This window comes from Homo sapiens, chromosome 4, assembly GCF_000001405.40.
Source record: "Homo sapiens chromosome 4, GRCh38.p14 Primary Assembly".
Lineage (NCBI taxonomy): Eukaryota > Metazoa > Chordata > Mammalia > Primates > Hominidae > Homo > Homo sapiens.
In genome coordinates this window covers 89,934,454-89,961,504 of record NC_000004.12, presented here as the reverse complement: position 1 = coordinate 89,961,504, position 27,051 = coordinate 89,934,454, and the positions used below count along the sequence as shown (strand labels likewise).

The following is a 27,051-nucleotide window of genomic DNA, read 5'->3' as shown; positions in this document are numbered from 1 at the left end:
CATTTGCAGGCACTTTGAGGAAAGGAGGGGTAAGACAAGAATTTAAGTTGAAAAGGTTGGCCAAACATACATATTCAACAGATTACAGGAGGAGCTATGAATATTCATGAAGGTAGTCTTGACACATGAATATTAAGTAAACATGCATGTAATATATGACCCTTGTTTACCTTGGGGTGCAACTTAACATTTAAATGTGTTACAGTTAGATCCTATACATCAAAAGATGAAGGAGAGATACAGAGGCACTCAGCCATAACCAGTCCATGGTCAGTGGTCTTATCAGGAGACAGTTACTGAAATCAGTCTCTTGCCCAATCAAAGCTGTAGTTATGGCTTGTGGAGCAGGGGCCAGGGGCCAGTTAGTCAGCGTGTGGTAGAGTTGCAAATTGTTTTAATTTTGCTTATCTCAAGGCAGTGCTTGTTTAGTTGCTAGAAAAAACAACAACAACAAAAAACCCTTGTGGCAGTTAAAATATAGTTTATTCTTTAAGTATAGGGGTGTATGATTTAACCCTTGCCTGGCATGGCCTTAGTTGCTGTTTATAATTTAATATCTCATTGCCACAAAGAGTCTGTTCTCTGTCAGTCTTGTGATCTTTATTTTAACATCAATGCTGGTCAACTGTTGTGTCTAGACCCCAAAAGAGAGGAGGTATTGTTAGGGACAGGAGGCAGAGAAATTCTAGGCAGAAAGGGCAGGGTTCCTGCCCAGGGCCCCACCCTCAAGCCTGAAATCTCAGACCAAAGTGAGAACTTTACATCCCCATTTTCCTGCTCGAATGTCACCTTTTCCAAAACCAACCCTGGCCTGCACCGACCCCCATCCTGTTCCCATAAAAACCCCAGGCTCCACTGGCAGAGAGCAGAGAAGTGGAGAAGAGAAGAAGTGGTTGAACATCAGAGAGAAACAGTTTGACTTCAGAGGGACGGCTTGACTGCAGGACTTCAGAGAAGAGTCTGGCTGGAGATGGCCGGACTTCAGGGGAAGTTCCCACTCCATCCCCTTTCCAGCTCACCCTTCCTCTGAGAGCCGCTTCCATCAGCAATAAAATCCTCCTCATTCACCACCCTTTAATTCATTTGTGCAATCTGATTTTTCCTGGACAAGAGCTTGGGTGTCACACAGGTGTGGATGCTAAAGGCTGTCACACTGACCCTCTGCCCTCACTGGTGGAGAGCAACTGCCTCACATAAAAAGGCAGAGGCCAACTGAGCTGTTTAACACTTAAGTCGTCCACAGATTGCAAAGCTAAAAGAGTGCACTGTAACACACCCCTCTGGGGCTTTGGGGGTTGTGGGTACTCCTGCGAGATGCTGCTACAAGGCCTGCATGGAGTTTTGCTTCTGCTGGCACCCAGAAGCACTTGCCCTATCTCTTGCACCCTTTCACCTGTGTGCTCCCACTCCTGTGAGGGGTTGGACTGAGTAAGTGAGGTACCTCTGCTGTGAGGCCCACAAAGTGGTCATGGAAAATGTCCTGTTTCAGTATAACGAGGCATGTCTGGCTTTCCATCCTGTCCTGGCCAGGAACTCAGTTTTTAAGGTGTCTCTGGGATCCCCTTGGCCAAGATGTATCTGTTCAATTGGTGGAGGTACTTAGGATTTTAATTTGAAGTGTGAAGAAGTCACATCTTGTTGGCAAAACTGCATCAGTGTGTTAGGATATAGCTAGAGCATGTAGTAGCTGTTTGTTAAAACCCAGAATGAGGATATTTTAAGAAGATTCGATGTCTTCATTGTAGGCTTAATTCAATGAAGATGACAACATTAATCAAATGTAGATGTCATATTTTACCTCTTCAGATTATAAAAAGAAAAATTAGGATTAGTTTTGGGATTGATATTTAAAAATTCATATATATCTCCATTAAGATGTGTAAAATGAATTTTACTACAAAATTTTCTAAGTTTTATAACTTTCTCAGATATTTTTTTCATGAATTTAAGACATTTAATTTTTTCTATATTTCCAGCATGTTCTGAGCATTTACTGAATTCAGTGTTTTTTCCACTAGCCACAGTGCCAAGAACTTTATTGATGAGCAATTGGTATGTGGCCTCATGGAATTCTAAAATGCTCTGTGGGCATTTTAATATACTTATTCTTCAAAACAGATTATAGAATCAGTTTTCAGATACTAGTATTGTTCCAATGATACCTACAATGTATTTCTTAAATTTAAAGGTTCTTTTGTGATACCCAAGAATGCCTTTAGCGCATGTAGGTGTGCTGTTGATAATAATGATGGCTTCTTTTTCTCAAACAGATGTTCTCCTTTGAGTGTACACATGGAAAGAAAGAAGCCACAATTATACAGAAATGCAATTTGTTTATTCTTCCCTCCACCTTTGTTTATTCTGCCCTTCATTGCATGGGGTAGATTACATAACTTACTGTTAACAGAGATCTGTGATAGAGGAAAACTCACTGATGATCTGTCAGTCTGCTGACCATTTAAAGGAAATAGAATTAATATATGAAATAGAATCAAGATTCAAGGGATTTAATGACAAGATTCAGAAAGGGCAGTAAAAGTCACATTAAAAAGACATGCAATCTCTGGAGGGTCTTTGAATTTCATCTACAGAATAACTTCTACACTATTTAGCTTTCTCTTCAGCTGGAATAAAGAAACCTAAATATATTCATTAAAATAGCAAAGCTATGATGGTAGGCAAAAAGGTAGAGTAGAGAATTGAAGGAGGGTTTGAGACTGTGGGAGGAATCTTTGTAGGTTATTTTTTGTTAATAGCAAGGTTACTCTATGACAAATCATAAAAATTAATGCATGTGAATATACCTAAGAAATTAGGATAAGGAAAGACCATATTCTTGAGATATATTTGATATGTAAATAGCAACTAAATGTCTTTGTATAACTTTAGTACTTTTCTCCACACAAATTATACATCTAGTCACCTTAAATCGCTTTTAGAAAGGGTTTGGAAGCACAAATAAATGTATTTTTCCTACATATATTTTCTGGCAAATTACTATCATCCTTAATCCATAGATTTCATACCAATAAAGAAATGTACGTGTGGTTCTGTTTATATATATTATGCGTAATTACATATTTTGAAGATGATAGTGGCAGCAAACATAAATGAGGGGAAGTAAATTACAAAAATAACAGAAACTATCCATAATCGTCTGTATCCTGGTAAGAGGAATTCAGTGAGTCAATTTCTTTCTTTATCAGTGGCTTCAAGTTAGGAGAGTAAAGTGGTATTTATAAGAACACCTGTTCCTTGGGTTGCATCATGTACTATTTTCACTGTTAACTTGAGTAGATATAATTATTAGTATGAATCAAAAAAATAGGAAATCCAAATAAATATTTGAATCCAAATAATATGTTGAAAAAAACACCAACTTTAAGACAATGTTACGTAGCACTTTCACTGTTATCTTCAGTGGGCTTGATATAAATGTTTATTTGAATCTAATAGGAAATCATGTTACAACTAGGATCTACTATAGACTGATATTTTAAAATCTATGCAAAGAATGTTTTAAAACACCATCCTAAATATCACTACATTCAACACTTGGTACTATACACTGCATCTTTGTGCCCCCTCCCTGCCTCAAATGTATATGTTGAAGCTCTAACCCCAAATGTGATGGTATTTGGAGGTGGGGTTTTGGGAGTTAATTAGGTTTAGATGAGGTCATGAGGGTGGGGCCCCATGATGGGCCCCGACCAGGGATTAGTGTCTTTAAAAGAAGGAAGAGACCAGAGCATTCATGTGCTCTCCGCCCTCATGCTCCTCTCTCTCCCTCTTTCACTCTGTCTTCCTCTCTTTCTCTCTCTGCATGTGAAGACACAATGAGAAGGCAGCCTTTTGCCTTGTATAAGCCAGGAAAAGGGACCTCACTAGAGACACCAAATCTGCTGGCACCTTGATCTTGGAATTGTCAGCTCTCAGAACTGTGAGAAATAAATGTCTGTTGTTTAAGCCACCCAGACTATGGAACTTTGTTGTGGCAGCCTAAGCTAACTTAAATAGTTGGAATCTGAAAAGTGTTTTGACTAAAGCCCTGGCTTTGAAAGTTGATGAAGCAATTCATGAGTAAATATAATAAAAACTCCAAAATTTGGACTTTTCCCAGAGTTTTAGATTATGTAATTAGGATGTCAGCCCAGAGAAATAAATACTACTTTATTGTTGTTTTCTCTGAACACAAATGCAGTATAGCTCATTGAGAATTCTCACTGAGCTGTGGTAAAAGCACTGAAGGGAAGGTTCTTAATAACACTCCCCAGGCTGTTGATGAAACCCTCGGTTTGAAATCACCGGGACAGGAAATAAGCAAACATCCCTTCCTTCCACACAGGAGAGCAACTCAGCTAAATTGTACACTCTAGGAAGGGCAGGCCTATATTTTTGCTTTAATGTATCCCACAGGTGCCTTGCAATGATAAATGATAGAAAAAATTTTGAATAATGAGAAAAATTTTGCTACATTGAAAATTATCTTTGTTGAAGACATATACTATGTATGGCTCACGAGGTTTCCAATGTGAGTTAATAAATTTATATTTTGAAACAGATGAACAACAACCAAAAAATTATCTCTATGTGCACTAAAAACCAAGCCAAATGAAAATTAGGATGGCTTATTTTAATCATTTCTTAATGATTAACTAATAATAGCTTATTCTTCCAAATTGAGAATTTTAACTGGTGAAATGAGTAAGAAAGAGCAATTGTAGACACTTATGGCTTTGTATGGGAAGTCTCTCAATTCTGGGAATGATACAAAAGGAGGTAATAGAAGATTGGTCAATAGTGCAAAGAAAAAAAAAAAAAAAAGAGACCGGTGGTTATTGAAGATAAATTTCTCATTCTTACAGAGCTATCCATGATTCTGGTGGTAGTAAATGCCATCATGACCCCGGATTATGTATTTCAAATGCAACATTTGTCTGTACTGATTTACTTTATATACTTTTTATTATTTGTTATATATAATTTAACATGCCTCCTATATTATGTACCTTCAATTAGGTATAATAATTAGCTACTTATTAAGTAATAAATGAATGGATTTGAGATTTTCATCAGTAATTAGTGACCTGATGTACTTTGGGAGCTGGTGTGGCAGGAAGATATTGTGAGAGAGAAGGGCTCTGAAATTGAATCTACAAAATAATATTCAAGGTACTTGGCTATGTCCATAGAAGAAATAAAGAAACGTTCCAGTGCTATATTTTTTTCTACATGAATAAGTTTGAAGATGACCATTAAAAATACAATACTAAATTATCTTTGATTATATTGAGTGGCTTTAAAAATATAGCCAAGCAAGTTCACAGCAACTTAAAAGTTGCTATAATGCCTCTTGGCTATTGGTGGCAATTTGTTATTTAATTGTATATTCTATGAATCCATATAAAAATAAAGACTATTATTAATAATTATATTTCCAAACACCAAAGCATTATTTAATGCTAAATGTTATTATCTAATTAAAAATCAATAAATTATATTGGACAATGCAATGATGAACATTGTCAAATGATTTACTTCCTTCTGTTCTGGTAACAGTAAAGAAAAACAATATAATGAAATCACTGAAATCTATGTTGAAAAGTATATTTGGAAAGCAAAAATTGTATTTTAATCTGTGAGTCCTTGAAGAAATAAAATTTTAAAAATTTAGATTATAGTAAATTTTTAGGCAGGGACTGAAGATATCATAAGAACTTTTTAAATGTTTTTGAAAATGACATGTTTACACATAACAGGATAAAAATTGTCATCATTCAGTGATATGTTTGAATTTGTGTCCCCACGAAAATCTCATATCGAATTATAATCCCCAGTGTTGGAGGAGGGGCCTGGTGGGATTTGACTGGACCATGGGGGTGAATTTCCCCCCAGCTACTCTCCTGATAGTGAGTTCACACGAGATCTGATTGTTTAAATGTATGTGGCACCTCCTACCTCTCCCCCTTCCACCTCCCCCAGCCACGTAAGACGTGCCTGCTTCCCCTTCACCTTCTGCTGTGGTTATAAGTTTCATGAGGCCTTCCGGGCCATGTTTCCTATACAGCCTGTGGAAATGTGAGTTAATTAAACCTCTTTTCTTAATAAGTTACCCAGTCTTGGGTAGTTCTTTATAGCAATGCGAGGATGGACTAATGCATCCAGCTGTCGGTTTTAACTCTTAGGTCACACTCTTCTTTGGCAGCCTGAATCTAGTACTGAGTGAGGCTAGGGTATGAAGGCCTGATTATTTTGACTCAGCGCAGGACATTCTGATGGACAATACTTACTTTAGAGTTCCTCCTTGCAGAGGTGACAAAGTTTGTTAGACTGCAGTTTAAAATCTTCTGCATAGTTATTGTGAAATTCCCAGGTGTTGTACTCTATTGTATTTGTATGCGAAAGTTTGCGTAACCCTTTGTCTGTCGCGGGACATGCGGGTGATTCCCAGTTTTCAGCTATTACAAATAAACTGACTATGAACATTTACTTACAAGTCTTTGTATGGATGTATGCTTTCAAGTTTTAGCAAATTTGAAAAATTTTCAAGTATCTTCTACAAATAGAAGATATTCACTTTCAGGACTGGAAATATTTCAAAAATTGTTAATTTTGATGAGGATGTGTGGGGTATAAAGAGCAGTTTTTCATAGACTTAGATTGTTAGTACCCATCGAAATGGAAAATTATGATCATCCTTTGTCCCAGAAATTCTCCATCATTGGTTATACTACTGAGAAAATTATTTAACTTCTATGTGCTTCTGATTCTCATGGGCAGAAAGAGAGTAATAATATGTAGTACAAATATCATAGGTTAATATGTAATTCATTATGTTATAGTGATCATTAAACAAATCAATTCATAAAAAAGGCTTACCATACCAAAACTTTTTTATTATTATTTTTATTATTACTTATGAAAATCTGTTTTTCAGAAACACGTTGTCAGATATCCAAGGAATGTATTTTTAAGCATGTTCACCACAGTAATATTGTAATAATAAAAAATGGGAGACAACACAAATAGAGGATAAAGGATTAGTTAAATAAATTTTAGCACATCTGTGGGAGGCAATATAGAGAAAGGATGGATGTGGGCTCTGGAGAAGACATGGCCTGATTCCAAATCCTGCCTCAGCCCTATGAGCTCATGGGCCTTGGTCTCTGTGTCTTAGGTTCTTCAACTATAAAAATCATGGTAATCATGCCCACTTTACAAGGGTTATTGTGAGGAATGAGACATTACATGTAAATTGTTTAGAAGAGAAACAGGGCATAGTGAGCATCCCATAAATTGTAGTATTACACAGATTATGACTTACCCTTTAGAAGAAGAAGGGCAGATCTGTAGGTACTACCATAGAAGAATACTTATTAGAAAAAGACTTTTTGCCCCTTATAGATGTTGTGGGGCGGGGGGCGGTAAATGATCCACTCATATATTCTTAGACTTGAGTGTACATGTCCAACTACATGTAAATTACTATGTTATAATTAGAGAATTATAGGAAGAGAACAATAGTTAAGCATTTTTCATATTTTCAGTCCAACTTTCTTAATTTTGATTCTGAATGAAAATCTTAGTATGGAAAATTGATCAACTCAACGTAAAGAGTAAAAATAAAAGTTTACAAAATCAATTTTCATTTTTTGAGTAATTTATTTAAATTTGTGAATCTAGAAAATGTGTGTTATATATTTATATACAGGGAATAACAAAAGTTAAGTGTTTAATTGGAAAGAAAACTGTGACTGATAATATGTTGTAATTACCATTTTATAATATTACTTTCCATTGCAATGACTTAAAATGAAGAAATAAGAATAGGAATAATTATGCTAACAAATTCACTTTGTTTTCTGTGCCACTAAATTTCTTTAGGATCAAGAACTCTTTCATATTCAGACATTAAACAATATTCAAATAATTTTATAAAATAGACATACAAGTTTACTCATATTAAAAAAACAAGTTGATTTTCATTTCCTGTAGAAAAACCAAAACAGAGCAGATGTGCAAGCAAAGATAAATGAAAACACTGGCTGTTTCTCAATAAAGGTGATAGTCTGTTTTTCATACTAACTTATGTACGATATAATAAATAGCCACTAAATGTAGTAACAGGGGGAAACTTGGCTGGAATTGTTCCTTTTGCAAGTCGTAACCAGACTTCCTGCCCATAATTTAATTCTAATAAGGCATCCCCAGTTAAAACCCTATCACAGTGTATTTCACTGTTAATATTTTCAGACTCAAATGCAAGCTTGTCTATTCCATCAACCACTAAAAATCCAGAAATATGAGCACTAAATGACTCGATGGTGTACTTGAAAACATATACTCCAAGATACGGAATTCTAAATTTTCCAGTTCTTGGGGTATATGAAGCTCCATAATTGACATCCAAGTTATTAAACAGGATAGGACCAGGTATAGTCATTCCATACGTATGAGATGCAAAAAATGCCACCATGGGTGCATATCTGTAAGATCCTTTGGAAAAATCTGTTAGAGGAAAAAATGGCAAGAGTTAATTTTCATGTTTTTATCTTATTTTTCTTTCCTTATATCTTCGTCATTTTTATCTCAGTTACAAAAAGTCTTAGCAGAAGAGAAAGGCCATCCATCAAACTTAGCAAAGGTGCACGTGTCTCAATGCCTGTCTCTTCTCTGGGGTAAATTACTCTAAATTGCTTAGCCTCTTGTTGCCTCAGTTTCTCCATTTAGATCAGGACAGAATAAAAATAACATTTGATACCTTCCTCACAGAAATGCCTCAAAGATAATTTGCATGTTGCTTTGATCTCCCCAGAGATAAAGGAATTCAAAGCACTCTATGATTATTATGGTTATGTCAGAATGTTTTAAAGCCCCTTGCAGGAATTGAAGCTGACATGATGTAGAAACAATTTTTCCGGCACCTTGTCAAGCAGTTTCTAAAGGCTAAAACGAAAACCATATAAAGTCATATTCACTGCAGCAAAGTAGACAAAGGCAATTTTCTGTGTAATTAATGCCAATTGTACTTACAAAGGCTGAGATCTAAAAACAGACTAAAAAATTTACATTTCACTATGCAGGATATTATTAAGAAAAAGCTGATTTGAAATAGGTTTTTTTGCAGTCATTAAATAACACATTTTTATGCTGCACATACATTTCTGTATAAAAATCAGAAATGGTGCACTCCTGAAGTAAATCCAAAGCACCAATACTTATGAATTTAAATAAATAAAAAAGCCATCTTGTTTTACTTAATACATTTGAGCATGTTCTAACAGTTCTCACACAGTCAAAATGGTGCCATTAGTTTAACCTTCACAGAAAACGTGTTACTAAGCATGTATTAAAGCCTCATTTAAATGACCATACCAGACATAAATCAAAGGCGTATTTCTTTAACTGCTTGTTTGAGGAGAAAGTGTTTCTATCAGTCAGATATATACATCCATATATTTTTAGGATGCACAAGAGAAAAAAAGTTTGTGAGGGGGTAGAATTTTCCATAAACTGCCTCTATATAGCAATATTGAAAATTTCAACAGGTGCATGTGAATAAGAATTTGCCTAACAAAAGGACATTTCCACTTGTAAATCAGGTACATTCTTCAGTAAGTTTCGAAAAAGTAAAAGGAATTGTCAAGTGGATCCAGATTAAGCAGGCTTAAATATTCATTAATAAATATTTTCAAAACGTGTTTCTATTTATGACAATGAGCAAATCCAAAGATGCGTATACTTTTTTTTTACCTGGAGCTAAAGCATTTTCTTCCACAAGCTTGATAGTGCAGTTGTCACCAGTAAAAGGATGTCTGCAGGCACAGGTAAAGCTAGTTCTTCCATTTATGCACGTGCCCCCATTTTGGCACGGATGCCGACTACAGCTTGAATACTCCTCTGTTACGGAAAAAGAATCAAGGTAAAAGAGAATAAAGTGACCTATTTTCCTGTTGATCTCAAATCGTAGTTTGCAGCAGAATAGGAAAAAGACTGAATTTTAAGTAAGAAAAATGGGCTCCACGGCCCAGGATGCCTGTCGATCTGGGCACAGGACGTCATGCAAATCCCTTAGCTCTGATCTCTCTATCTCCTTCAGTAAAGTGGGCAAAATTCTGTGATCCATTACATTTATTGGTGTGAAATGTTAACATTCTTGTCAACTGCAGAACAGAATAGAATTATCTCAATACAAATCATGTATATTTGAAACTGGTACTTGATAAAGGTAATGCTTTAAATCACTGAGAAGAAAAATATCTGTTCGATACATGGTGCTAAGGTGGTATTGAATATATATTAGAAACATAAATTCCACATATACAAAAATACTAAATATAAAAAAACCAATATGATTGCATTACAACAAAAAAGGAGAATATCTTTCTAGAGCTTTAAAATTTTAAAAAATTCTTTCAAAGCAAAACAAAGCAAAGCAAAGGAAAACAAAACTCAGAAACCATAAGAGAAAAACATTATCATGTTTGACCTAAGAATTAAAACTCATTTGCATTGAAAACCACCATTTTCAAAGTTTAATGATAAGTTACAAAATTAGAAGACATGGCAATCTAATGACTAATATTCATAACATATGAAAAACTCTGAAAAGAAAAAAAAAATTCTCCCTTAAAAATGGAAAATGAGGCCGGGTATGGTGGCTCACACCTGTAACCCCACCACTTCAGGAGGCCAAGGCAAGAGGATGGCTTGAGTCCAGGTGTTTGAGACCAGCCTGAGCAGCATAGTGATACCCCATCTCTAATTTTTTAAATAAAAAATAAATAAAAATAAGAAAATGGTCTTCACTTACAGATCAGAAAAAAATAAGTTAAAAAACGGAGAATGTATCAGTAGGCAAATCATTGAACAAAACCCACAAAAGGTCACTAAAAGTTTTAAAGCATATGCAACCTCATTACTAATTCAGAAATAATAAATTTAGCAATAATAACATTATTTAAATATAAGGTGGCAACATTTAAAAAGATACGTAGAAAATATCCAGTCATGTCAATATAAGGGAAAATGGGCCTTTTCATGCAATGCTGGCTGGAGTGTAAACTGCTATAGCTGTTAATAGGACAATGTGACGATATTTATCAGTATTAAAAAGGTTAATTTACTTTGAGCCAAACATTTCTTCTGGCAGTATATATATACTCCAGACATACTTGTCCATGTGCACAAAGACAATTCTTCAATTCAAAATGATATCACTTGCATTCTTGAAAAATTTAAAGACTCCTAAATGATCACTGATGCAGGACTTGTTAAATAAATTGTAACATATTCCCACTGAGGAATATTAGACAGCAATTAAAGAATGAGGTAGATTCTCCAACAGGTTTGGTTTACTGAAGACAGAAAGTTACAGCTCACACATTACATATAGAATAATTTCATTTGTTGTGAAAGCTTCAAATTATGAATATGGTTATAAACATAATGCATAATTATGTAAATGCAGAAACAAGGTCAGAAGAATTCAGCGCTTATACTACTTGCCACAGTTACTCTGGTGCCACCTTATGGTAATGATGTAGTTTACCATCCACTCATTTCAAACCAGGTGATTGTTGATGATTTTTAATTTGGAAGTTATTTGTTTTGTGTAATATTTTTCTCATGAAGTGAGACCTATAAATTTTTATATACATTTTGTTTCATAGCCATACAATTGAAATTCACATAAAATGTGAACAAACGGCATGCCTGTATTATTAAAATTTTTTGCAAAGCAAATATATTAATATTGTACTTATGTAATGAGAAATTAATCAGAATTATCTTGATATATTCTCTGCAATATTCTATAAACTATTTTCCTTATTAAGAAAAGTATTAAAATATTACATGTGTGTAATACCTTTTAACAAATATTTCGACTGGCTAACATTCCTTTAACCTCACTTTGCTGCATGTGAATAGATTATCAAATCCCTTTTTTGCTGCTCATTAACATTCCAGAACTTTGCCCATTATTTTCCTGCATTAAAAACATCAATGACTTTTCATTACTTATAGTAATGTGAATATTCTGTATCAAAGCATTTGCTTCATTTATTTTTACATTCTCTGAATTTAGCACAGTGATCAACTCACAGGAGAAGTTTCAATTAATGGGTTTCACTAGGAATGTATCAATTGTGCAGTAGAGTTGGGGGGAACACTAACTTATTTATGTAATTTGATCAGCTCTATAATTTTAATTTTCCCAAATATAAAAAATCACAGTCACCTGTAACCTTGGCCCTGTTCATGAATCAGGGATCAAAGCTGTGCTATAAGGAGAACTTAAGAAACTGTGGAAAAAATTAGATTTATCTGCATTGCTGTTGGCTCTACTCTGAATCTTCAGGATCAAGGATTCTGCCTGCTATTTAATGTCCAGGAGCAGCATTCCATTTTTTGCTTCTTTATGTTCCATTACTTTAGGAATTGGGTCTTGCCTTGCTGTAGTTCTTTGAGTCATTTCAGAGGGTGCTATTTTACCCCATTTTCCAATTTCTTTTTAGGGTCATTCATCTGGAGTAGGGCTACACTTAAGTTTAATTGAAGGTCTGCATCTACTACTACTGTTACAGTAGCCCAAACTTCTTGAGACTGCACACAGCTTGCCTTCTAGGACATCTTTCATGGTGCCTACTGATTATCTGCTCAGGATGCCTCAGCCACTTGTCTGTACCTGCTTCGACTGCTTCTGTTTTAAGTTCCTTTCTGTGCCTCTTTTTGCTATTTTAGGTATGTCTGGACTTTCCAAGTCTCTGCCAAAATAATCACATTTTAAAATATAAAATCATGTCCATGGCACCCAGAACTGGACATATTGTACCAGTTGAGCCCAAGCATAGTAGGTTATGGTAGCAATTGCTAGTTACCCCTGCTGAAATGAACTTACACTTCTGTCAAGATAACACAAGCATTAAGTATTCATTGTCTATTTCTGCATCTGTATCACACTGTCTCATAACAGGTCTCCTGTGCTCTGATGTATTGAAGCTTTCTAAAATCTCATGTCTATTTAATTCATTTAAACATGAATTTACAATTATTATTGATAATAAAATTTATCTTATTAGACATGAGTTACCATCTCTGTCCATAGAAAGCATTCAGTTTTATTCTGTATAGATGTTTCAGCCACCCTCCCCTATCTTTGTTATCATTTCCAAATTTATGTCTCATGCGTTCCTCCAAGTTATCGATAAAAATACGTACTAGAAAAAAAATACCTGATGGATTAGTGACAAGTACAGAGCCTTATAACAGACAACTAAAGATTGAATGGCACTGATTTTCCAACTGAAGCTATTTGTACTTTGTTATACAATGAGTTAGAAATCAACTTTTGGCTGGGTACGGTGGCTCACGCCTGTAATCCTAGCACTTTGGGAGGCTGAGGCGGGCAGATCACCTGAGGTCGGGAGTTTGAGATCAGCCTGGCTAACATGGTGAAACCCCATCTCTACTAAAAATACAAAATTAGCTGGGTGTGGTGGTGTGTGCCTGTAATCCCAGCTACTCCGGAGGCTGAGGCAGGAGAATTACTTGAACCCAGGAGGCGGAGGTTGCAGTGAGCCAGGGTCACGCCACTGCACTCCAGCCTGGGCGACGGAGTGAGACTCTATCTCAAAAAACAAAACAAAACAAAATCAACTTTTGTACACCACCTGACTTATTTTTCTCCTTTATTATTAAAACGCTTAAAAAATGGTTAGGTACCTTTATAAGTACCTGCTCATATTTGTGCTTAATAGGCTACTTGTTCTTGAATTACCAACAAAAATCAAACTCCAATAAAGCATCATTTTCTTTATGACATCTTTCCTCATCCCTAGGAGTAAATCACTTTAGTTCTCTCCATTGCTGCCTGATGCTCCAAAGTTGTCTTCTTGAATTCATCACACTCAACTGTAATTGCTTTGGTGTCTTTCTTACTTCCAACAAGAGTATGAGCTTTCATGAGGTCAGGGATCATGTTCTCTATGACTTAAACTTCATATCAACCTTATTAGCACAGTGCCTGACATATAGAAAATACTAAAGTAGTTTTAAAAATGAATAGACAAATTAATAAAAGATGGAATAGAATACCACATTCTTATCAAATTTCAACCTTCTTCCCAGTTTCTCAAATGTCACAGAGTTTGACACTATGCTATCATTGTCATGTTATCCTAGAGACATGAATCTATTTATTTATTTATTTGTTTTATTTTTGAGATGGAGTCTCGCTCTGTCGTCCAGGCTGGAGTGCAGTAGCATGATCTTGGCTCACTGCAACCTCTGCCTCCTGGACTTAAGCTATTCTCCTGCCTCAGCCTCCCAAGTAGCTGGGACTACAGGTGTGCACCACCATGCCAGGCTATTTTTTGTATTTTTAGCAGAGACGGGGTTTCACCGTGTGGGCCAAGCTGGTCTCAAACTTCCAACCTCAGGTGATCCACCTGCCTTGGCCTCCCAAAATGTGGGATTACAGTGTGAGCCACTGTGCCCAGAAGTGAATCCATTTAAGCGAACTTTCCACAACTTCTCCCCTTACCTTGAGCTTCAATAACCTCTTAAACTCCTTCCTGTCCATTTTTTTTAATGGAGATCAGTGCAATTAGTTCAATAGTTCTTCCAAGTCAACATTCTACCACTGTGCAAGTAGCATAACTGATATTTCATTTATAAATTTCAATTTATTCTGGTCTTTGCTTTCTGGACCCTAATATGTGCTCTAGTTACAATTTTCTATTAATCCTAGTTTCATATTTCATAAATGTACATATTTGAACTAATTGGAGAGCACCTTGCATTTTCAAAGCACCCTGTCATTCCTAATATTTGTCATTTTTTATTATAATTACTCGATTAATGTATGAACTTCATGAGAAGAGGGGCTGTGTTGAGTTTACCGCTCTATTCACTCAACTTTCCTCAGTGCTCATTCAGAACTCATTCAACAGGAATTTGATGAATAAAGGGATACATTGTGTTGATGATTTCTACTGTATTCTTACATTTATTTCTATTACATATAATGTTATCTATCATATACTTTTATTTTAATTTTACTTTATATTTTATTGCTTACTTCTACTTTAGCATCAAAATCTTAATTTCTTCATGTAAACAGTAACATTGTAGAGGGCAGATAACTGATCTCTGCTAGGACACAATGGAGTTTCCAAGAGATTAGCGAGGGAACTTATCGTTTTGCCTGTCCTCCCATTTTATAATACACAGATGAAAGCATTACACAAATCTGCTCCTAGGTAACATGCCCACACAACATTTGCACTTTTCTTTATGTTTCATCCTGATTCCAATGCTCTGTAAAATGTTTTCATTTCCATATTAATGGACACATTCTTAAGTTTCAGTGCTATTATGCTTCCCCATTTGTCAAAACTGTTTATATCAAATAAGGCTTATCTTCCTGTTGCTCTAGAAATATTTCATATGCCCATTGCCAGCAACTTCTAGGAATACTAACATTTATTTGTTTTTATTAAGTTTTCAAATGCATTGCTCTAATTACTAACATTGTGTTCTTTGGTGTATAGATGGATGGAAATACTGTTTCAAACCATGTTTACTGCTTTTCCTTCAAACTGTCAGTTTTTATTTTTGGTATTCTTTTTATATCACACCAATTGTTTCTTATATTGTTTTCTGGGATCTTTTTTCCTCAACCCTTCATATATTACTTTAAGGCACATTTAGTTGTATCAGCAATCTTCAGCAAATATCTTAGACCTGTCCGAAAGGATTTACTTTATCCCTTGCTATTATTTTGTTATCTTAAGCTGTGACCTAGGAAATTAAATGTTTTTGTTTGATATCGTGAACTGATTTATCCTTTTTCTTTAGAGTTATAACCATCAATCAAGAGAAGAATTAAAAACATTGTCTGACCAATACATTAAAATATGTTCAGTGTTCCTAGTCACTAGGAAAATGCAAAACAAAACCACAGTGAGATATAACTATGTACCTACTAAAATAACATGAAAGATATTGACAATGTCAAGTGCTGGCAAAAATTTGGAGCAATTAGAATTCTCATATATTATTCATGGAAATGCCAAGTGGTTAGTCATTCCTTCTAAAGTTAAAACTATGTATCTTATAACCAAACTATGCTACTGCTGTATAATTATAAGAGAGAAACAAAAACTGACATTCATACAAAAACCTGTATGTGAATGTTTATAGCAGCTTTATCCACAGTAACCCCAGACTGGAAACAACCAAAAAAAGATCCTTCAACTGGTAAATAGATAAAGAAATTGTATATTTATACTATACACTACTTATGAATAAAAATGAATACATGCAAGAACATGGATGAATCTCAGATATGTTACATGAAGTGAAAGAAGCCAGACTCCAAAGCCTCCACATATTGTATGAGTTTGTTTCTTACATATTCTGGAAAAAATAGAATTGTCTGGGAAGAAAACAGATCACTGGTTGCTAGTGCTTGGTAGTAGGAACAGGTTTGACTACAAAGGTGCATGAGGAAATTTGGGGTGGTGATGGAACTGATCCCTATCTTGATTATGGTGAAGGTTATACGACTATGTATTTGTCAAAACTCATAGGCTATCTATCAACATTAGTACATTTAACTAAATGTAAGTTATACCACAAACAAATAAACTCGCGTTGTTTCAAGTCCCTTAATTTCCTACCTTGGATTTCAAAATCACTAAGAATATTGTAGTTCATCATCCCACCTTCTTTGTTGTCTATAAAACTTATTATTTTACCAAATGTAACTTCTCAAAAGTAATCTCCCTGCTCTTTGATTTCCATTCCATCCCCATTAACTTTTCTAATTGATGCTCTCATTTTCTCATATCTAGATGATTATAGCCGTCTTAACATCGCTTTGCCTGCCTCTAAACAACCCTCATCCATATAGCTGTGAAATCTGCTTCCCTAATTACAATGAGATATAACTGCACGCCTATTAAAATGATAAAAATAAAAGATATCCATAGTGTCATCATTGTCTGTTAAAAGTCTCATATTTAAATATTTTTTAATTTTTTGGACAAACTTTTTGGGCAAAGTTAACGTGCCCATGTGTATATATGTGCACACAGGTATAACACTTGGCCCTTTCATAAGTTGCTCAAGGGAGCGTAAATTGATACTCTCTGAAGAGAAACTTGGCAATATTTATCAAATTCTTTCAAAATGTGCATGGGCTTTGCACCAGTAATTTTACTTCTTGGATGTTATCTTAAGGAAATAAGATTAGAGATGGTCACAAAAATTAATTAGTGTGGCACTATTTAAAATAGAGAAAAAAATTAAAATGTACAAAAGTCAAAAATTGAATACAAGTTAGATAAATAGTTAGAATATGCTGTGGTATGTTGTTTCTTTTCTTTCACATTCAAAATAGCTTCATAATAACATGGTATTCTTATGCACATACCAAAATATCAAAAAAAGTATAAAATATAACAGAACATTGCACTGCTCTATAGGTATATCTTTCACTATCATTTTTTTTTTTTTGAGACAGAGTCTCGCTCTGCTGCCCAAGCTGGAGTGCAGTGGCATGATCTCGGCTCACTGCAACCTCCTCCTCCTGGGTTCAAGATATTCTCCTGCCTCAGCCTCCCTAGTAGTTGGGCACGTGCCACTACACCTGGCTAATTTTTGTATTTTTATTAGAGATGGGGTTTCGCCAGGTTGGCCAGGCTGGTCTCGAACTCTTGGCCTTAAGTGATCTGCACACCTTAGCCTCCCAAAGTGTTGGGATTACAGTGGTGAGCCACCGCTCCCAGCCTCACTATCAAATTCTTCTAGAACAAAAAATTACAAAGCTTTCTGAGCCAGAGCCTTGCTTTCTAACTTGATCCCACTTAGGACTTACGTAATATTTGTTGAATCAAGTTGGAAAATTAAGAATCATTATAACTTTCCAATAATACTCATAATTCTAAAAATAATTCATTTGGGTCCTAAAACAAAAACTGCTTTAAGAAGTTTTAGCACAACATTTTAAGCTAATATAACCATGAATAATAGAAATTATCTTGTCTTTATTGTAGCATCCATCTAGGAAAGTGTTTTACAAAGATCCTCTTGAGGTAAATCTGCAATTTCACATTTTCAAACAAATTTCCTATTCAAGTAAATGACTAAATACACGTACACATGATTGTGTACAAGCAGTTTCTTAGTTGACAATAAAGTCACCGAATTTAGGTTATATATAAAAGGTAGTGTTGATGTCTCATTATTATTCAGATGATGATTTGGGATAGTAAGTATTTTTTATAACTTCCAATTTATTTTGGCAGGCCTGGAAAATGCAATCATATGCTAACGTCCACATCAGATGTGCTTATCCTCCTGTCTCTTTTGTTTCTTCTTGATATTCTCTCCAGACTGCTCTCTCTCCAGTTAAGCTTTAGAGGTTGCTCTTCCTCTGACTCTGCTCTTACATGAGTCCCCTGGCTCTGCTCACCCACACCCAGAGTTTCCAAACACCATTTTCATGCCAATACCTCTCAAATCTAAATTTCCACGCAAATTTCAAATCTTAACACTCGTTTAAGATTATAAAGTCTGGAAAAGAATTCTGAAAGGAAGGTTCATTAACTGTAAAACAATTGTTTACTTTTTTGTAAAAAGTAAAAAAATAAGTGTAGTTTAGAACTTTTATCATTCTGGCACAACATGCGATCATTTTTTTTCATTGATTGCTTTATTTCTCCAAACACTGTGTCATAATTTTACTGGTAATTTGATTTTAGGGTAAAGACACTTGAGTTTAGATTTATTAATATTGATATCAATGGAGTTTCATGTGATATTTTCCCCTAAAACAATGCTGTCAACATAATTGGAATTAAAAAGTTCAAATTAGGTTTATATCCTAAAATAATAATTATTTCTTTGGAGAGCCCATTTTAAGCTATGTATAGTAAAACTGGCAATTAAAAACTTAAAGTATGTTTTTCAGACTTCATATGCAGTTAGTATATTACACAGCTGTTATTTCTATGCTGTGATTTTTGTCAGGATGAAAATATCATGTTCACTTAGATCATTCCATAGCAAATTTACAATCTGTAATTTAATAATCCTGCCACCTTCCTTTTCATGTTTGATAATCAATAAGTTACAAAATAATACTATTGAGTACAATTTTAAATTCATAATATAGTTAATGACCAGTACAAAAATATATGTTTATTGCATTTAATTTACAGACAAGTTAAGAATCAAATTTCGTTTCAAATCCTTGGTGTCAAAGAAATCGTCTATTGTTGGGAAGTAGCTCCTGTGATTTTTGCTTGGGAAAGAACCCAAGCATATGCAGTGACTGTGTAAATGGAACCTGGAATTCCATCCCATTTCCTTTTTCATGTCAGAGCAAATGTTAGACATTTTGGTTCAGAGAATGTGATCATTAAACGTCTGGGTTTCTGACTATGCACCTTAGATAGCCTGGCTACTTTATTGAGGACAAGGTGACAGAAAAGGTTGTCAATTTTGTCAGCATTTGCTCTTTAGCTGTCATCATTCTTCCATATGAAGGGAATCATATGGAAATCTGGGGGAGTCTGTTCTTCTCCCAGAGAGCCATGAACAAAAAGTAGTTCATTTACTATTTCCTTCAACACTGATATGTTTTATTGACACAAATTGGGGAGGCCATCCCCAGCAGACAGGCCTCCTAACCAGTTCTGACATGAAGAATATCTTTAAGATAATCTGCAGAGAAGAGTGAACATAGTAGGCCAGAGACTGATATCTTTAGAAAGGCCTACTTGGAAAATTTTGCAGTTGGTTAGCATCTGGGAACTTGACTTCTCTCCATTCCCTAACTGGTAAGTGTCATTCACCATGCCCAGACTCTTTGTACAAACAATATGATTTATGCTGAATATCTGCTTCCCTTCTGAGAGTATGGAGTTTTGGTATGTCCTAGGCAGAGGATGCTTATGTGACCAGCCCCCAGTAAAACTAAGTGCTGAGTATCTGATGGGCTTGTATGGGCAGAATTAATGTACACGTTACTAATTTTGTGTATGTGTGTGTGACTAGAAAAAAAGAGCACACAGAAATGTTGTCCTTCATGGGAGGGATAAACATAAAAAATCCTGTGCCTAAATTTCTCCAGACTCTGCTTGTATCTTTTTCCTTAGCTGATCCTGTTACGAACTTTTTGCCATAATAAGCCACAGATGTGAACACTATGGATATGCCAGATCCTGTGAGCACTTCTATTGAATTACCAAATGCGTACACGTATTTGGGGGACTTCTAAAACACATCTAAACTCTAAATTGAAGCAGATAGCTTTCAAAATTTAACGGGCTTATATTCAGCCATTTTGTACAGAAGATAACCTATTAGTTATCTTGAGGTATATTTGAAAATATTTTATAATATGGAAAATCATATAAATAGTAGAAAATCGCTTGGAGAAAACCATTCTTTGACATTTATTTTCAGTGCTTATCAATGCACATGTTTTTACACAGTCTTTATATTTTGTATCCTATTCTTTTTGATTTATCATTGCATGATGACCATAAGCTAAGTTATAAGCATATGCGGAGTTTAAAACACAGTGAATTATCAAAGTAATAATAAGTAACAATGAGATGCTATAAGTTTGTAAACTATGTTGATGCATGGAAATAATTATATATCAAATATTAAGTGAAAATGTTGAGAAAATAAAAGCATATACATTGAATATAGCTAAGAAAATTGCATCATATAGTAATAACTTAATACACTATCTGCAGATTATATTCTTGATTCTCAAAATAAACTTATAAGGTTTGTATGTTATTCTTATTTTATAAATGAGGAAAGAAAGGCCTAGAAAAATAAATGACTTATTACAAATAAATATATTGCCAGGCAGGACTTGAACCCTGGTGTCCTGATTCCAAATTCAGGGCTCATTAGTCATCACAGCTGCCTCTATGCAGAGTCACAAAATTTAGAAATGGTTTCAATGTGATATAAGACAGTTAAATATTCACTAGGTCCTCATTTTTTCTCTTTTAAATAGCATATATTCACATCAATGATAATTTTTAAAATTACATTTTAAAACACTACCAAATGTTTTATAGAAAGTAATCTTTCTTGGGAGTACAGGAATAATTATTAATAAGAGAGGTTTATGAAGGGGAGCTAAATTGATAAACATTAGAGAAAAAGTTGAAATAAAAAGCCAATGGTTTTACAAGCAGGAGGTGCACATGCTCAGCAGTGAGCTGCTGACATTGTGTTAAGTCAGGATTCAGCTGCTTTTGGAAGGGCAAGCAGCCAAAAGCTCTCTGCAGGGATAAGTCTGCCAATTGCTGTACAAACAAATCTTCAAAGATGAAATAAAAACCTCTTGGTGTCTATTAGAATATTGTTTAGAAACAAATCAAATATTTAGCAATTGAACCAGAATATCTTATCATCAGTGGCCTACTAGGAATCAGAAATAGCATGAATGAATGTAGGAATGGCTCAAAAGGAAGTGGCAGGGATGAGAATAATGAATTTTGTCCCTCTTCTTCGTCAGTCAAAGGAAGATCTTGTGACTATCTGATGGTGACTTTCAATAAGTACCCACTGGCCATATCCCAAAAAAGCCAAACTGAAAAGTAGCACCTCTACTTCCTCATGTGCAGAAACAACTTGTCAGTATTTGGATCTTCAAGAAAAGAAACTCCCTAAAAATATCGGCTCCAGCCATATGGAATATTCAGATATGGCCAGACTGAAGAACATATGATGCATGAAACAGAAACAGAAAGAAGAGAAAGGCATGTGAACACACTCTATAATTTCTTTGAGCATGTGGTTGAGGACTGAGCCCTGAGTCTAGCTGGCCAGAAGCCAAGCTCTATCACTTACTAGTTGAATGACCTTAGGCAGGATACTTTAGTTAATGTCTCCGAGGGTCAGTTTACTCATCTTCAGAATAAATAATAATACTTACCTCACAGGTATTGTTAAATGAAGTTATGAATATTGGGAATTTTCACAGTGCCTGAGATATAGTAAATGTTAATGAATACTAACCAATGTCGTATTATTACGGTATTCATATTATCAGGCTTCAAAGTAAGTTATCAGTTATTAAAATTAAGATTAAAACACTATATTTATATGCTTTTTTCTATATACTGTACTTATTTTGCAAATGATGGCAGCTAGAATCTGAATAATATGACTCTGAGATTCATAAGATGATGATAAATTATCTTCTGGCTTTAGTTATGTGGGAGAGCAATGTGGCTGTATAATACTTATACAATATCAAAGGTGAAATGAAACAGCCAAATTTAAACAGTGTGTCCCACCCCTGGTATAAAACAGGGTATCAAAAGTAGTAGTTTATTCTGCAATTGTTCTATTCTTACAGGAGAACTTAGCCTGAGTCCACTGGTTTCATCATCTTTCATAGACCTTGCCTGCTGAGCTGCCCAATGATTGACATCTGTTCTATGGCCCATGGAAGTATGGCTGGCTTAATGGGCATGCAAACCTATGCAACCACTTAAAAGGGTCCCATACATTATGTTGCTGGCCCGGCCTGGCATAAAAGGAATATCTACCTTGCACGTGGGAATTAGGTCAGTATATCTTTATTACCTTGGCATCATTATTGGTATCTTTGCTTAAATAAAATAAAGAACTTTAATAGTTATTTTTGGTAGACAGGAACATAAAAAGTTCTACAGTCAGTAAATAAAGGAACAGGAAGCAATGTTATCAAAGCCTTATTGGAAAATAAGAATCAAAACTGAGTTATTTCCTATTATTAGTCTATTAAGCCCAATATTGAGTCAATCACAATAAGTATCTAGATACAATTTTTATAATGTCCTAACATGCATTCATTATATTATCAAAGTTTGCAAGTTCTTAATGTTCTATAAATGTTTTTCCTCAATTTATTTGAGGCTATTTCAATTTTATACTTACTATGAAAATAGCATATATATATTTTAAATATATATATATATATATATATATATATATATATATGTTTAAAAAATGACATAGCTTGCCTGGTGTGTGGTCACACATGCTGTATAGCTAATTGAAGATCATGATGAAGTGTCCACATGAAGACCAATAATGGAAATAGTATGGAAAAAACAACTCCTTATATCTCCCAAAATTGTTATTTTAAGAACATCTTATATTGAGATACTACCTTTCTCTGGGAAACATATACGTCTAAATAGTTTCTTCTATGTTCCTACAGAAGTAAAATTAGTTCTATTAGGTCAGATTACTCTGGGGGAGTCATAAATAAATATACTAATTTAAATAGTAGAGATAATTCAACTCTATTATTCTGTTATTTTTAATATTATCAAAACATTCATACATTAAATATGAAGTCATATTATGTTAGAATAATGATCATCCTTTGTAATTAAAAAGAAATAAAGTACAAAATTCATACAAATGGGCTATAATTTAACAGCAGACTCATATGAGAAAAACACAGCCATTACTTTTTGTAAGAATGAAGAGATATTCATATTTAGAAAAGATTATTCAATATTACTTATATGACAACCATATTCATAAAACACTTCCTTCATACAGAGGTACTATTATGCAATTTATATGCACCACACAATTCCTCTTTCTTCCCAAATACATGCTTCTTCCTTGGTGTTTAGAACATCTGTTAATGGTACCACTATTCTGTCATTTCCCAAATTCAAAACATCGGGAAAGTCTAGATCTCTCTCTTCTCCAAGTGTCATGCATTAAGGCTGTGAACAGATCGTGGATTTTTTTACAGTGAAGCAGTCTTCGGCATATCTCTACTAAGCACCTCAGCAAATCACCTACTGCAATCTCATCACTTAAAAGGAAGAAACTAAGGCCTAGAGAGGTGAACTTTTTACCTAGTGCTATTAACTAACACAGAAACTTACTAATACATCTAGGACCAGAATCAAGATTTGATGTTCCTCAAATCATTTTTCTTGCCACTCTCCCTCTGTTTCTGTTGATGGGAACTTTCCAACATTTCTCACATCAGCCTTAGAGCTTCCTCTATGGCTCTTGCCAATATTCATTCAGTAACATCCCTAATATCACCTCTGCAATCACACTACACACTATTGCTAGCTTCATGCTTCTGAGTTGCAGCTCTTATCACAACCAATCCACTGATACCAATTTTCAGACACCCTACTCTTTACAAAATCATGTCTAAGTACTTAGCTTGGCATTGATGGCCTTCTATGATTTACCCAAATCTATTTCCTGAACATTCATTGTCAGATGATCATTCAACAGGTATTTACTGAGTTCCTATTGCATATCAGATATGGTAAAATGCCAAAATAAGTAAATCTGGTCTATTAAAGATCTCCTTGCCTAATAGCTTTGTTTAATTACTTGTGCAAAGCAAATTGTTCCATAGGAGCAAATTTAATTATTTTATAGAGGTCTAGTCAGAAAAATTTTAAAAACACATAGCCAAATATACACTAGAAATATTTGTTTTGTATTGATGTCTGAAATACTGTAAGATAGATTCAGATTTAAATAATGTCAGTGATCTTCACAACTTGACTATCTATCCAAGTTCAAGTATGTAGTTTTATGTTTAATGGTCTTGCTCAACTGTACAGATCTATTAAATATCATTTAAGTAAAAAGAGAGATTAAAAGTTACTTTTCAGTAACAGCTTACCAGGATATATTATGTTGTCCGTGTTTCTTTGAGTCCGGCCTATCAGGACTGTGGTAAGATTTACCGTTGGTTTCTTAAGTGCGTTAATTTTCTTTGGCAATGATTTTACTTGCTTCTGAGACTTGACAACATTTGCCAGACTACCAGGCAACGATCGATCTATACAACAAGTTAAATTAGATAGGGCAGCTTGAGTTTTTATTTGAATTATTGGTTCCACAAATTCTGTTAGACCTTTCTGAAGAAGTTGAATATCTGGCAGGGAATGTTTTATCCACTTAGGGATGGTAGCATTCAGTTCTGACACACTTGTAGAAGCATTGTGACACATTGTTAAAACTTCGTGGAGAGTTTTGTTAAGCGAAAAGAAGTTAATTGAAAGATGGATAGATTTTGCTTCCAACGCCTTAAATCTGGAATTTAATACTTGCAGTTGAAGAGCCTGATCTCTCTCATTTGTAACTACACTGCCTTTTTTAACTGAAATATAATAAGGTATGAGCGTCTGGGTAACTTTAGACTCAATGTCTTGCAACCGAGTCTCAAAATTTTTGGAAATCTTGGTAGTTAAGAGTAGTTTTTCTTCCAAATGACTCATATTTTGCTGGTATTTTCTCACTTGGGAAGTGGTTTCATTGAACATTTGATACATCTTTTGGAAGTTGGACTGATTTAGTTTCTCATCTCTGGGAATACCTGCAAGGGTCTTGGCGACTTGCAAAACAAAGTTATATCTCTGATTGTCATTGACCAAAGTCTGAATAGAATCATTCAGACGGTGGAACTGAGGAATAAATGTCAAAATAGTTTCCATATCGGAGGTACATTTATGATGGATCTCACTATTATCCTTAATAGTACTTAAAGTCTCTTTTAGGGCATAGTTATCTTGAATGAAATCAATAGCATTATTTATAATAGTCATTGTCTTATTGAGGCCATCTTCCATTTCTAAGGCATATTCATTGATACGTCTTTCTAAGGCATCATCACGACCCTGTACTTCATTTCTAAGTAAGTTGTGTCTTTTTGTAAGTTCTTTGATAATAAAATTTAGACTATTGACAGCACTAGTCAGATTTTCTATCTTTTTCCTTATCACTATTGCTTCCTTTGGTTGTTCATATGTCATTGTCTGTCTGAGTGATGCTCCCTGCTCAAGCAAGGGTTGAAGGATCTCCATATCATAAGTCAAATCATTTAGTTGCTCACTCATTTTGTCCATCTTATTGTCCATTGGAAAGAGAACTTCAGCCAATGTTTGATTTAACACATGTAAATTCTCTTCTGTGTCCTTAAGTTGAAATTTAAAATCATTTCTGCATTTGGATAACATGTCTTCACATTCACCTCTGAGAGACTCTTTCTCCATCTCCAAAGAGACGGTGAGATTGTTAATCTTGCTTTCTTGAATGTGCAAATCTTCAAACATTTGCAGCATCATCAAACTCTGCTTCTTTATATTTTCATGTAAAGTAGACATGTACTCAGTGACATTATTGCTAACTGACTCAGCAGCTGGAGCATTCTTCTGGTCTGATACCTGTTCAGTTGATAAAAGCTGCTCATGTACTTCCTTCAATTTAGAAAGAGTTTTATTGAGGGATTCATAATACAGAATGCTTCTTGAGTGTTCCTGTTCTAGAGCACCTTCTAAATGAGTCTGCTTTACTTCTAGTTCTTTAATAGGCTTCTCACATGTAAGAGTCATTTCTTGCCTTACATTCACAATGTGATTCCTTAGTTCCACTATATCAGTCAAAGTGGGCCGATTCTCTTGCACCAAAACAAACTTTTGCTGGGCTGCTATTGAAACCACAGATTCATTAACTTTTTGAATTATTTGCCTGGTGCTTTCGAGGTCCTCTGATAGACTTGATACAGTCTTGAAGAGCTGTGCTACAGTCTCTTGCATGTCATTTTGAAAAATTTTAAATTGTTCTCTTACTATGTCTCTTATCAGTACATTAATGCTTTTGGATTTTAGACCTAGAGAAAGAAATAATTAATAATACATAGTTTTAATTATATGAGACTTTAAGCATCTCTAAAAGATAAAAAGTTTGAAATTAAACATTAATAACACGTAATAATAAAAATACCTCTTAACTACATTTACTTATAGAATTTTAAAAATTACTATAATTTATAAAAGGTGATCAATTCCTTGAATAATAAATCTGAGAGGAGATATCACTTGCAGAACATACTAGAACATACTAAAACCATAAAACTAAGGTCCTTTGGATGAAAGACATGACGGAACTACTACTGACTTCAGTAATACACCCTTGTGTACAATAATTCTAGGTCTAGTTTTCGTTTTGTGTGAAAATAAATGGCTT

At 34.6% G+C, this 27,051-nt stretch overlaps 1 protein-coding gene across 4 annotated transcripts in view; it reads right to left on the bottom strand.

Annotated features, from left to right (window-relative positions):
* The window catches only part of MMRN1 (multimerin 1), a 75,104-nt gene continuing 54,943 nt past the window's right edge, over positions 6,891 to 27,051 (bottom strand). For all 4 annotated transcript variants that reach the window (NM_001371403.1, XM_047449831.1, NM_007351.3 and 1 more), the window contains 3 exons: positions 24,707 to 26,695; positions 9,754 to 9,900; positions 6,891 to 8,508 (listed from right to left, as the gene is read on the bottom strand). In NM_001371403.1, the coding sequence (NP_001358332.1) occupies positions 8,087 to 8,508; positions 9,754 to 9,900; positions 24,707 to 26,695 (2,558 nt within the window). In that variant the 3' untranslated portion in view covers positions 6,891 to 8,086. The remainder of the gene's footprint in view (positions 8,509 to 9,753; positions 9,901 to 24,706; positions 26,696 to 27,051) is intronic.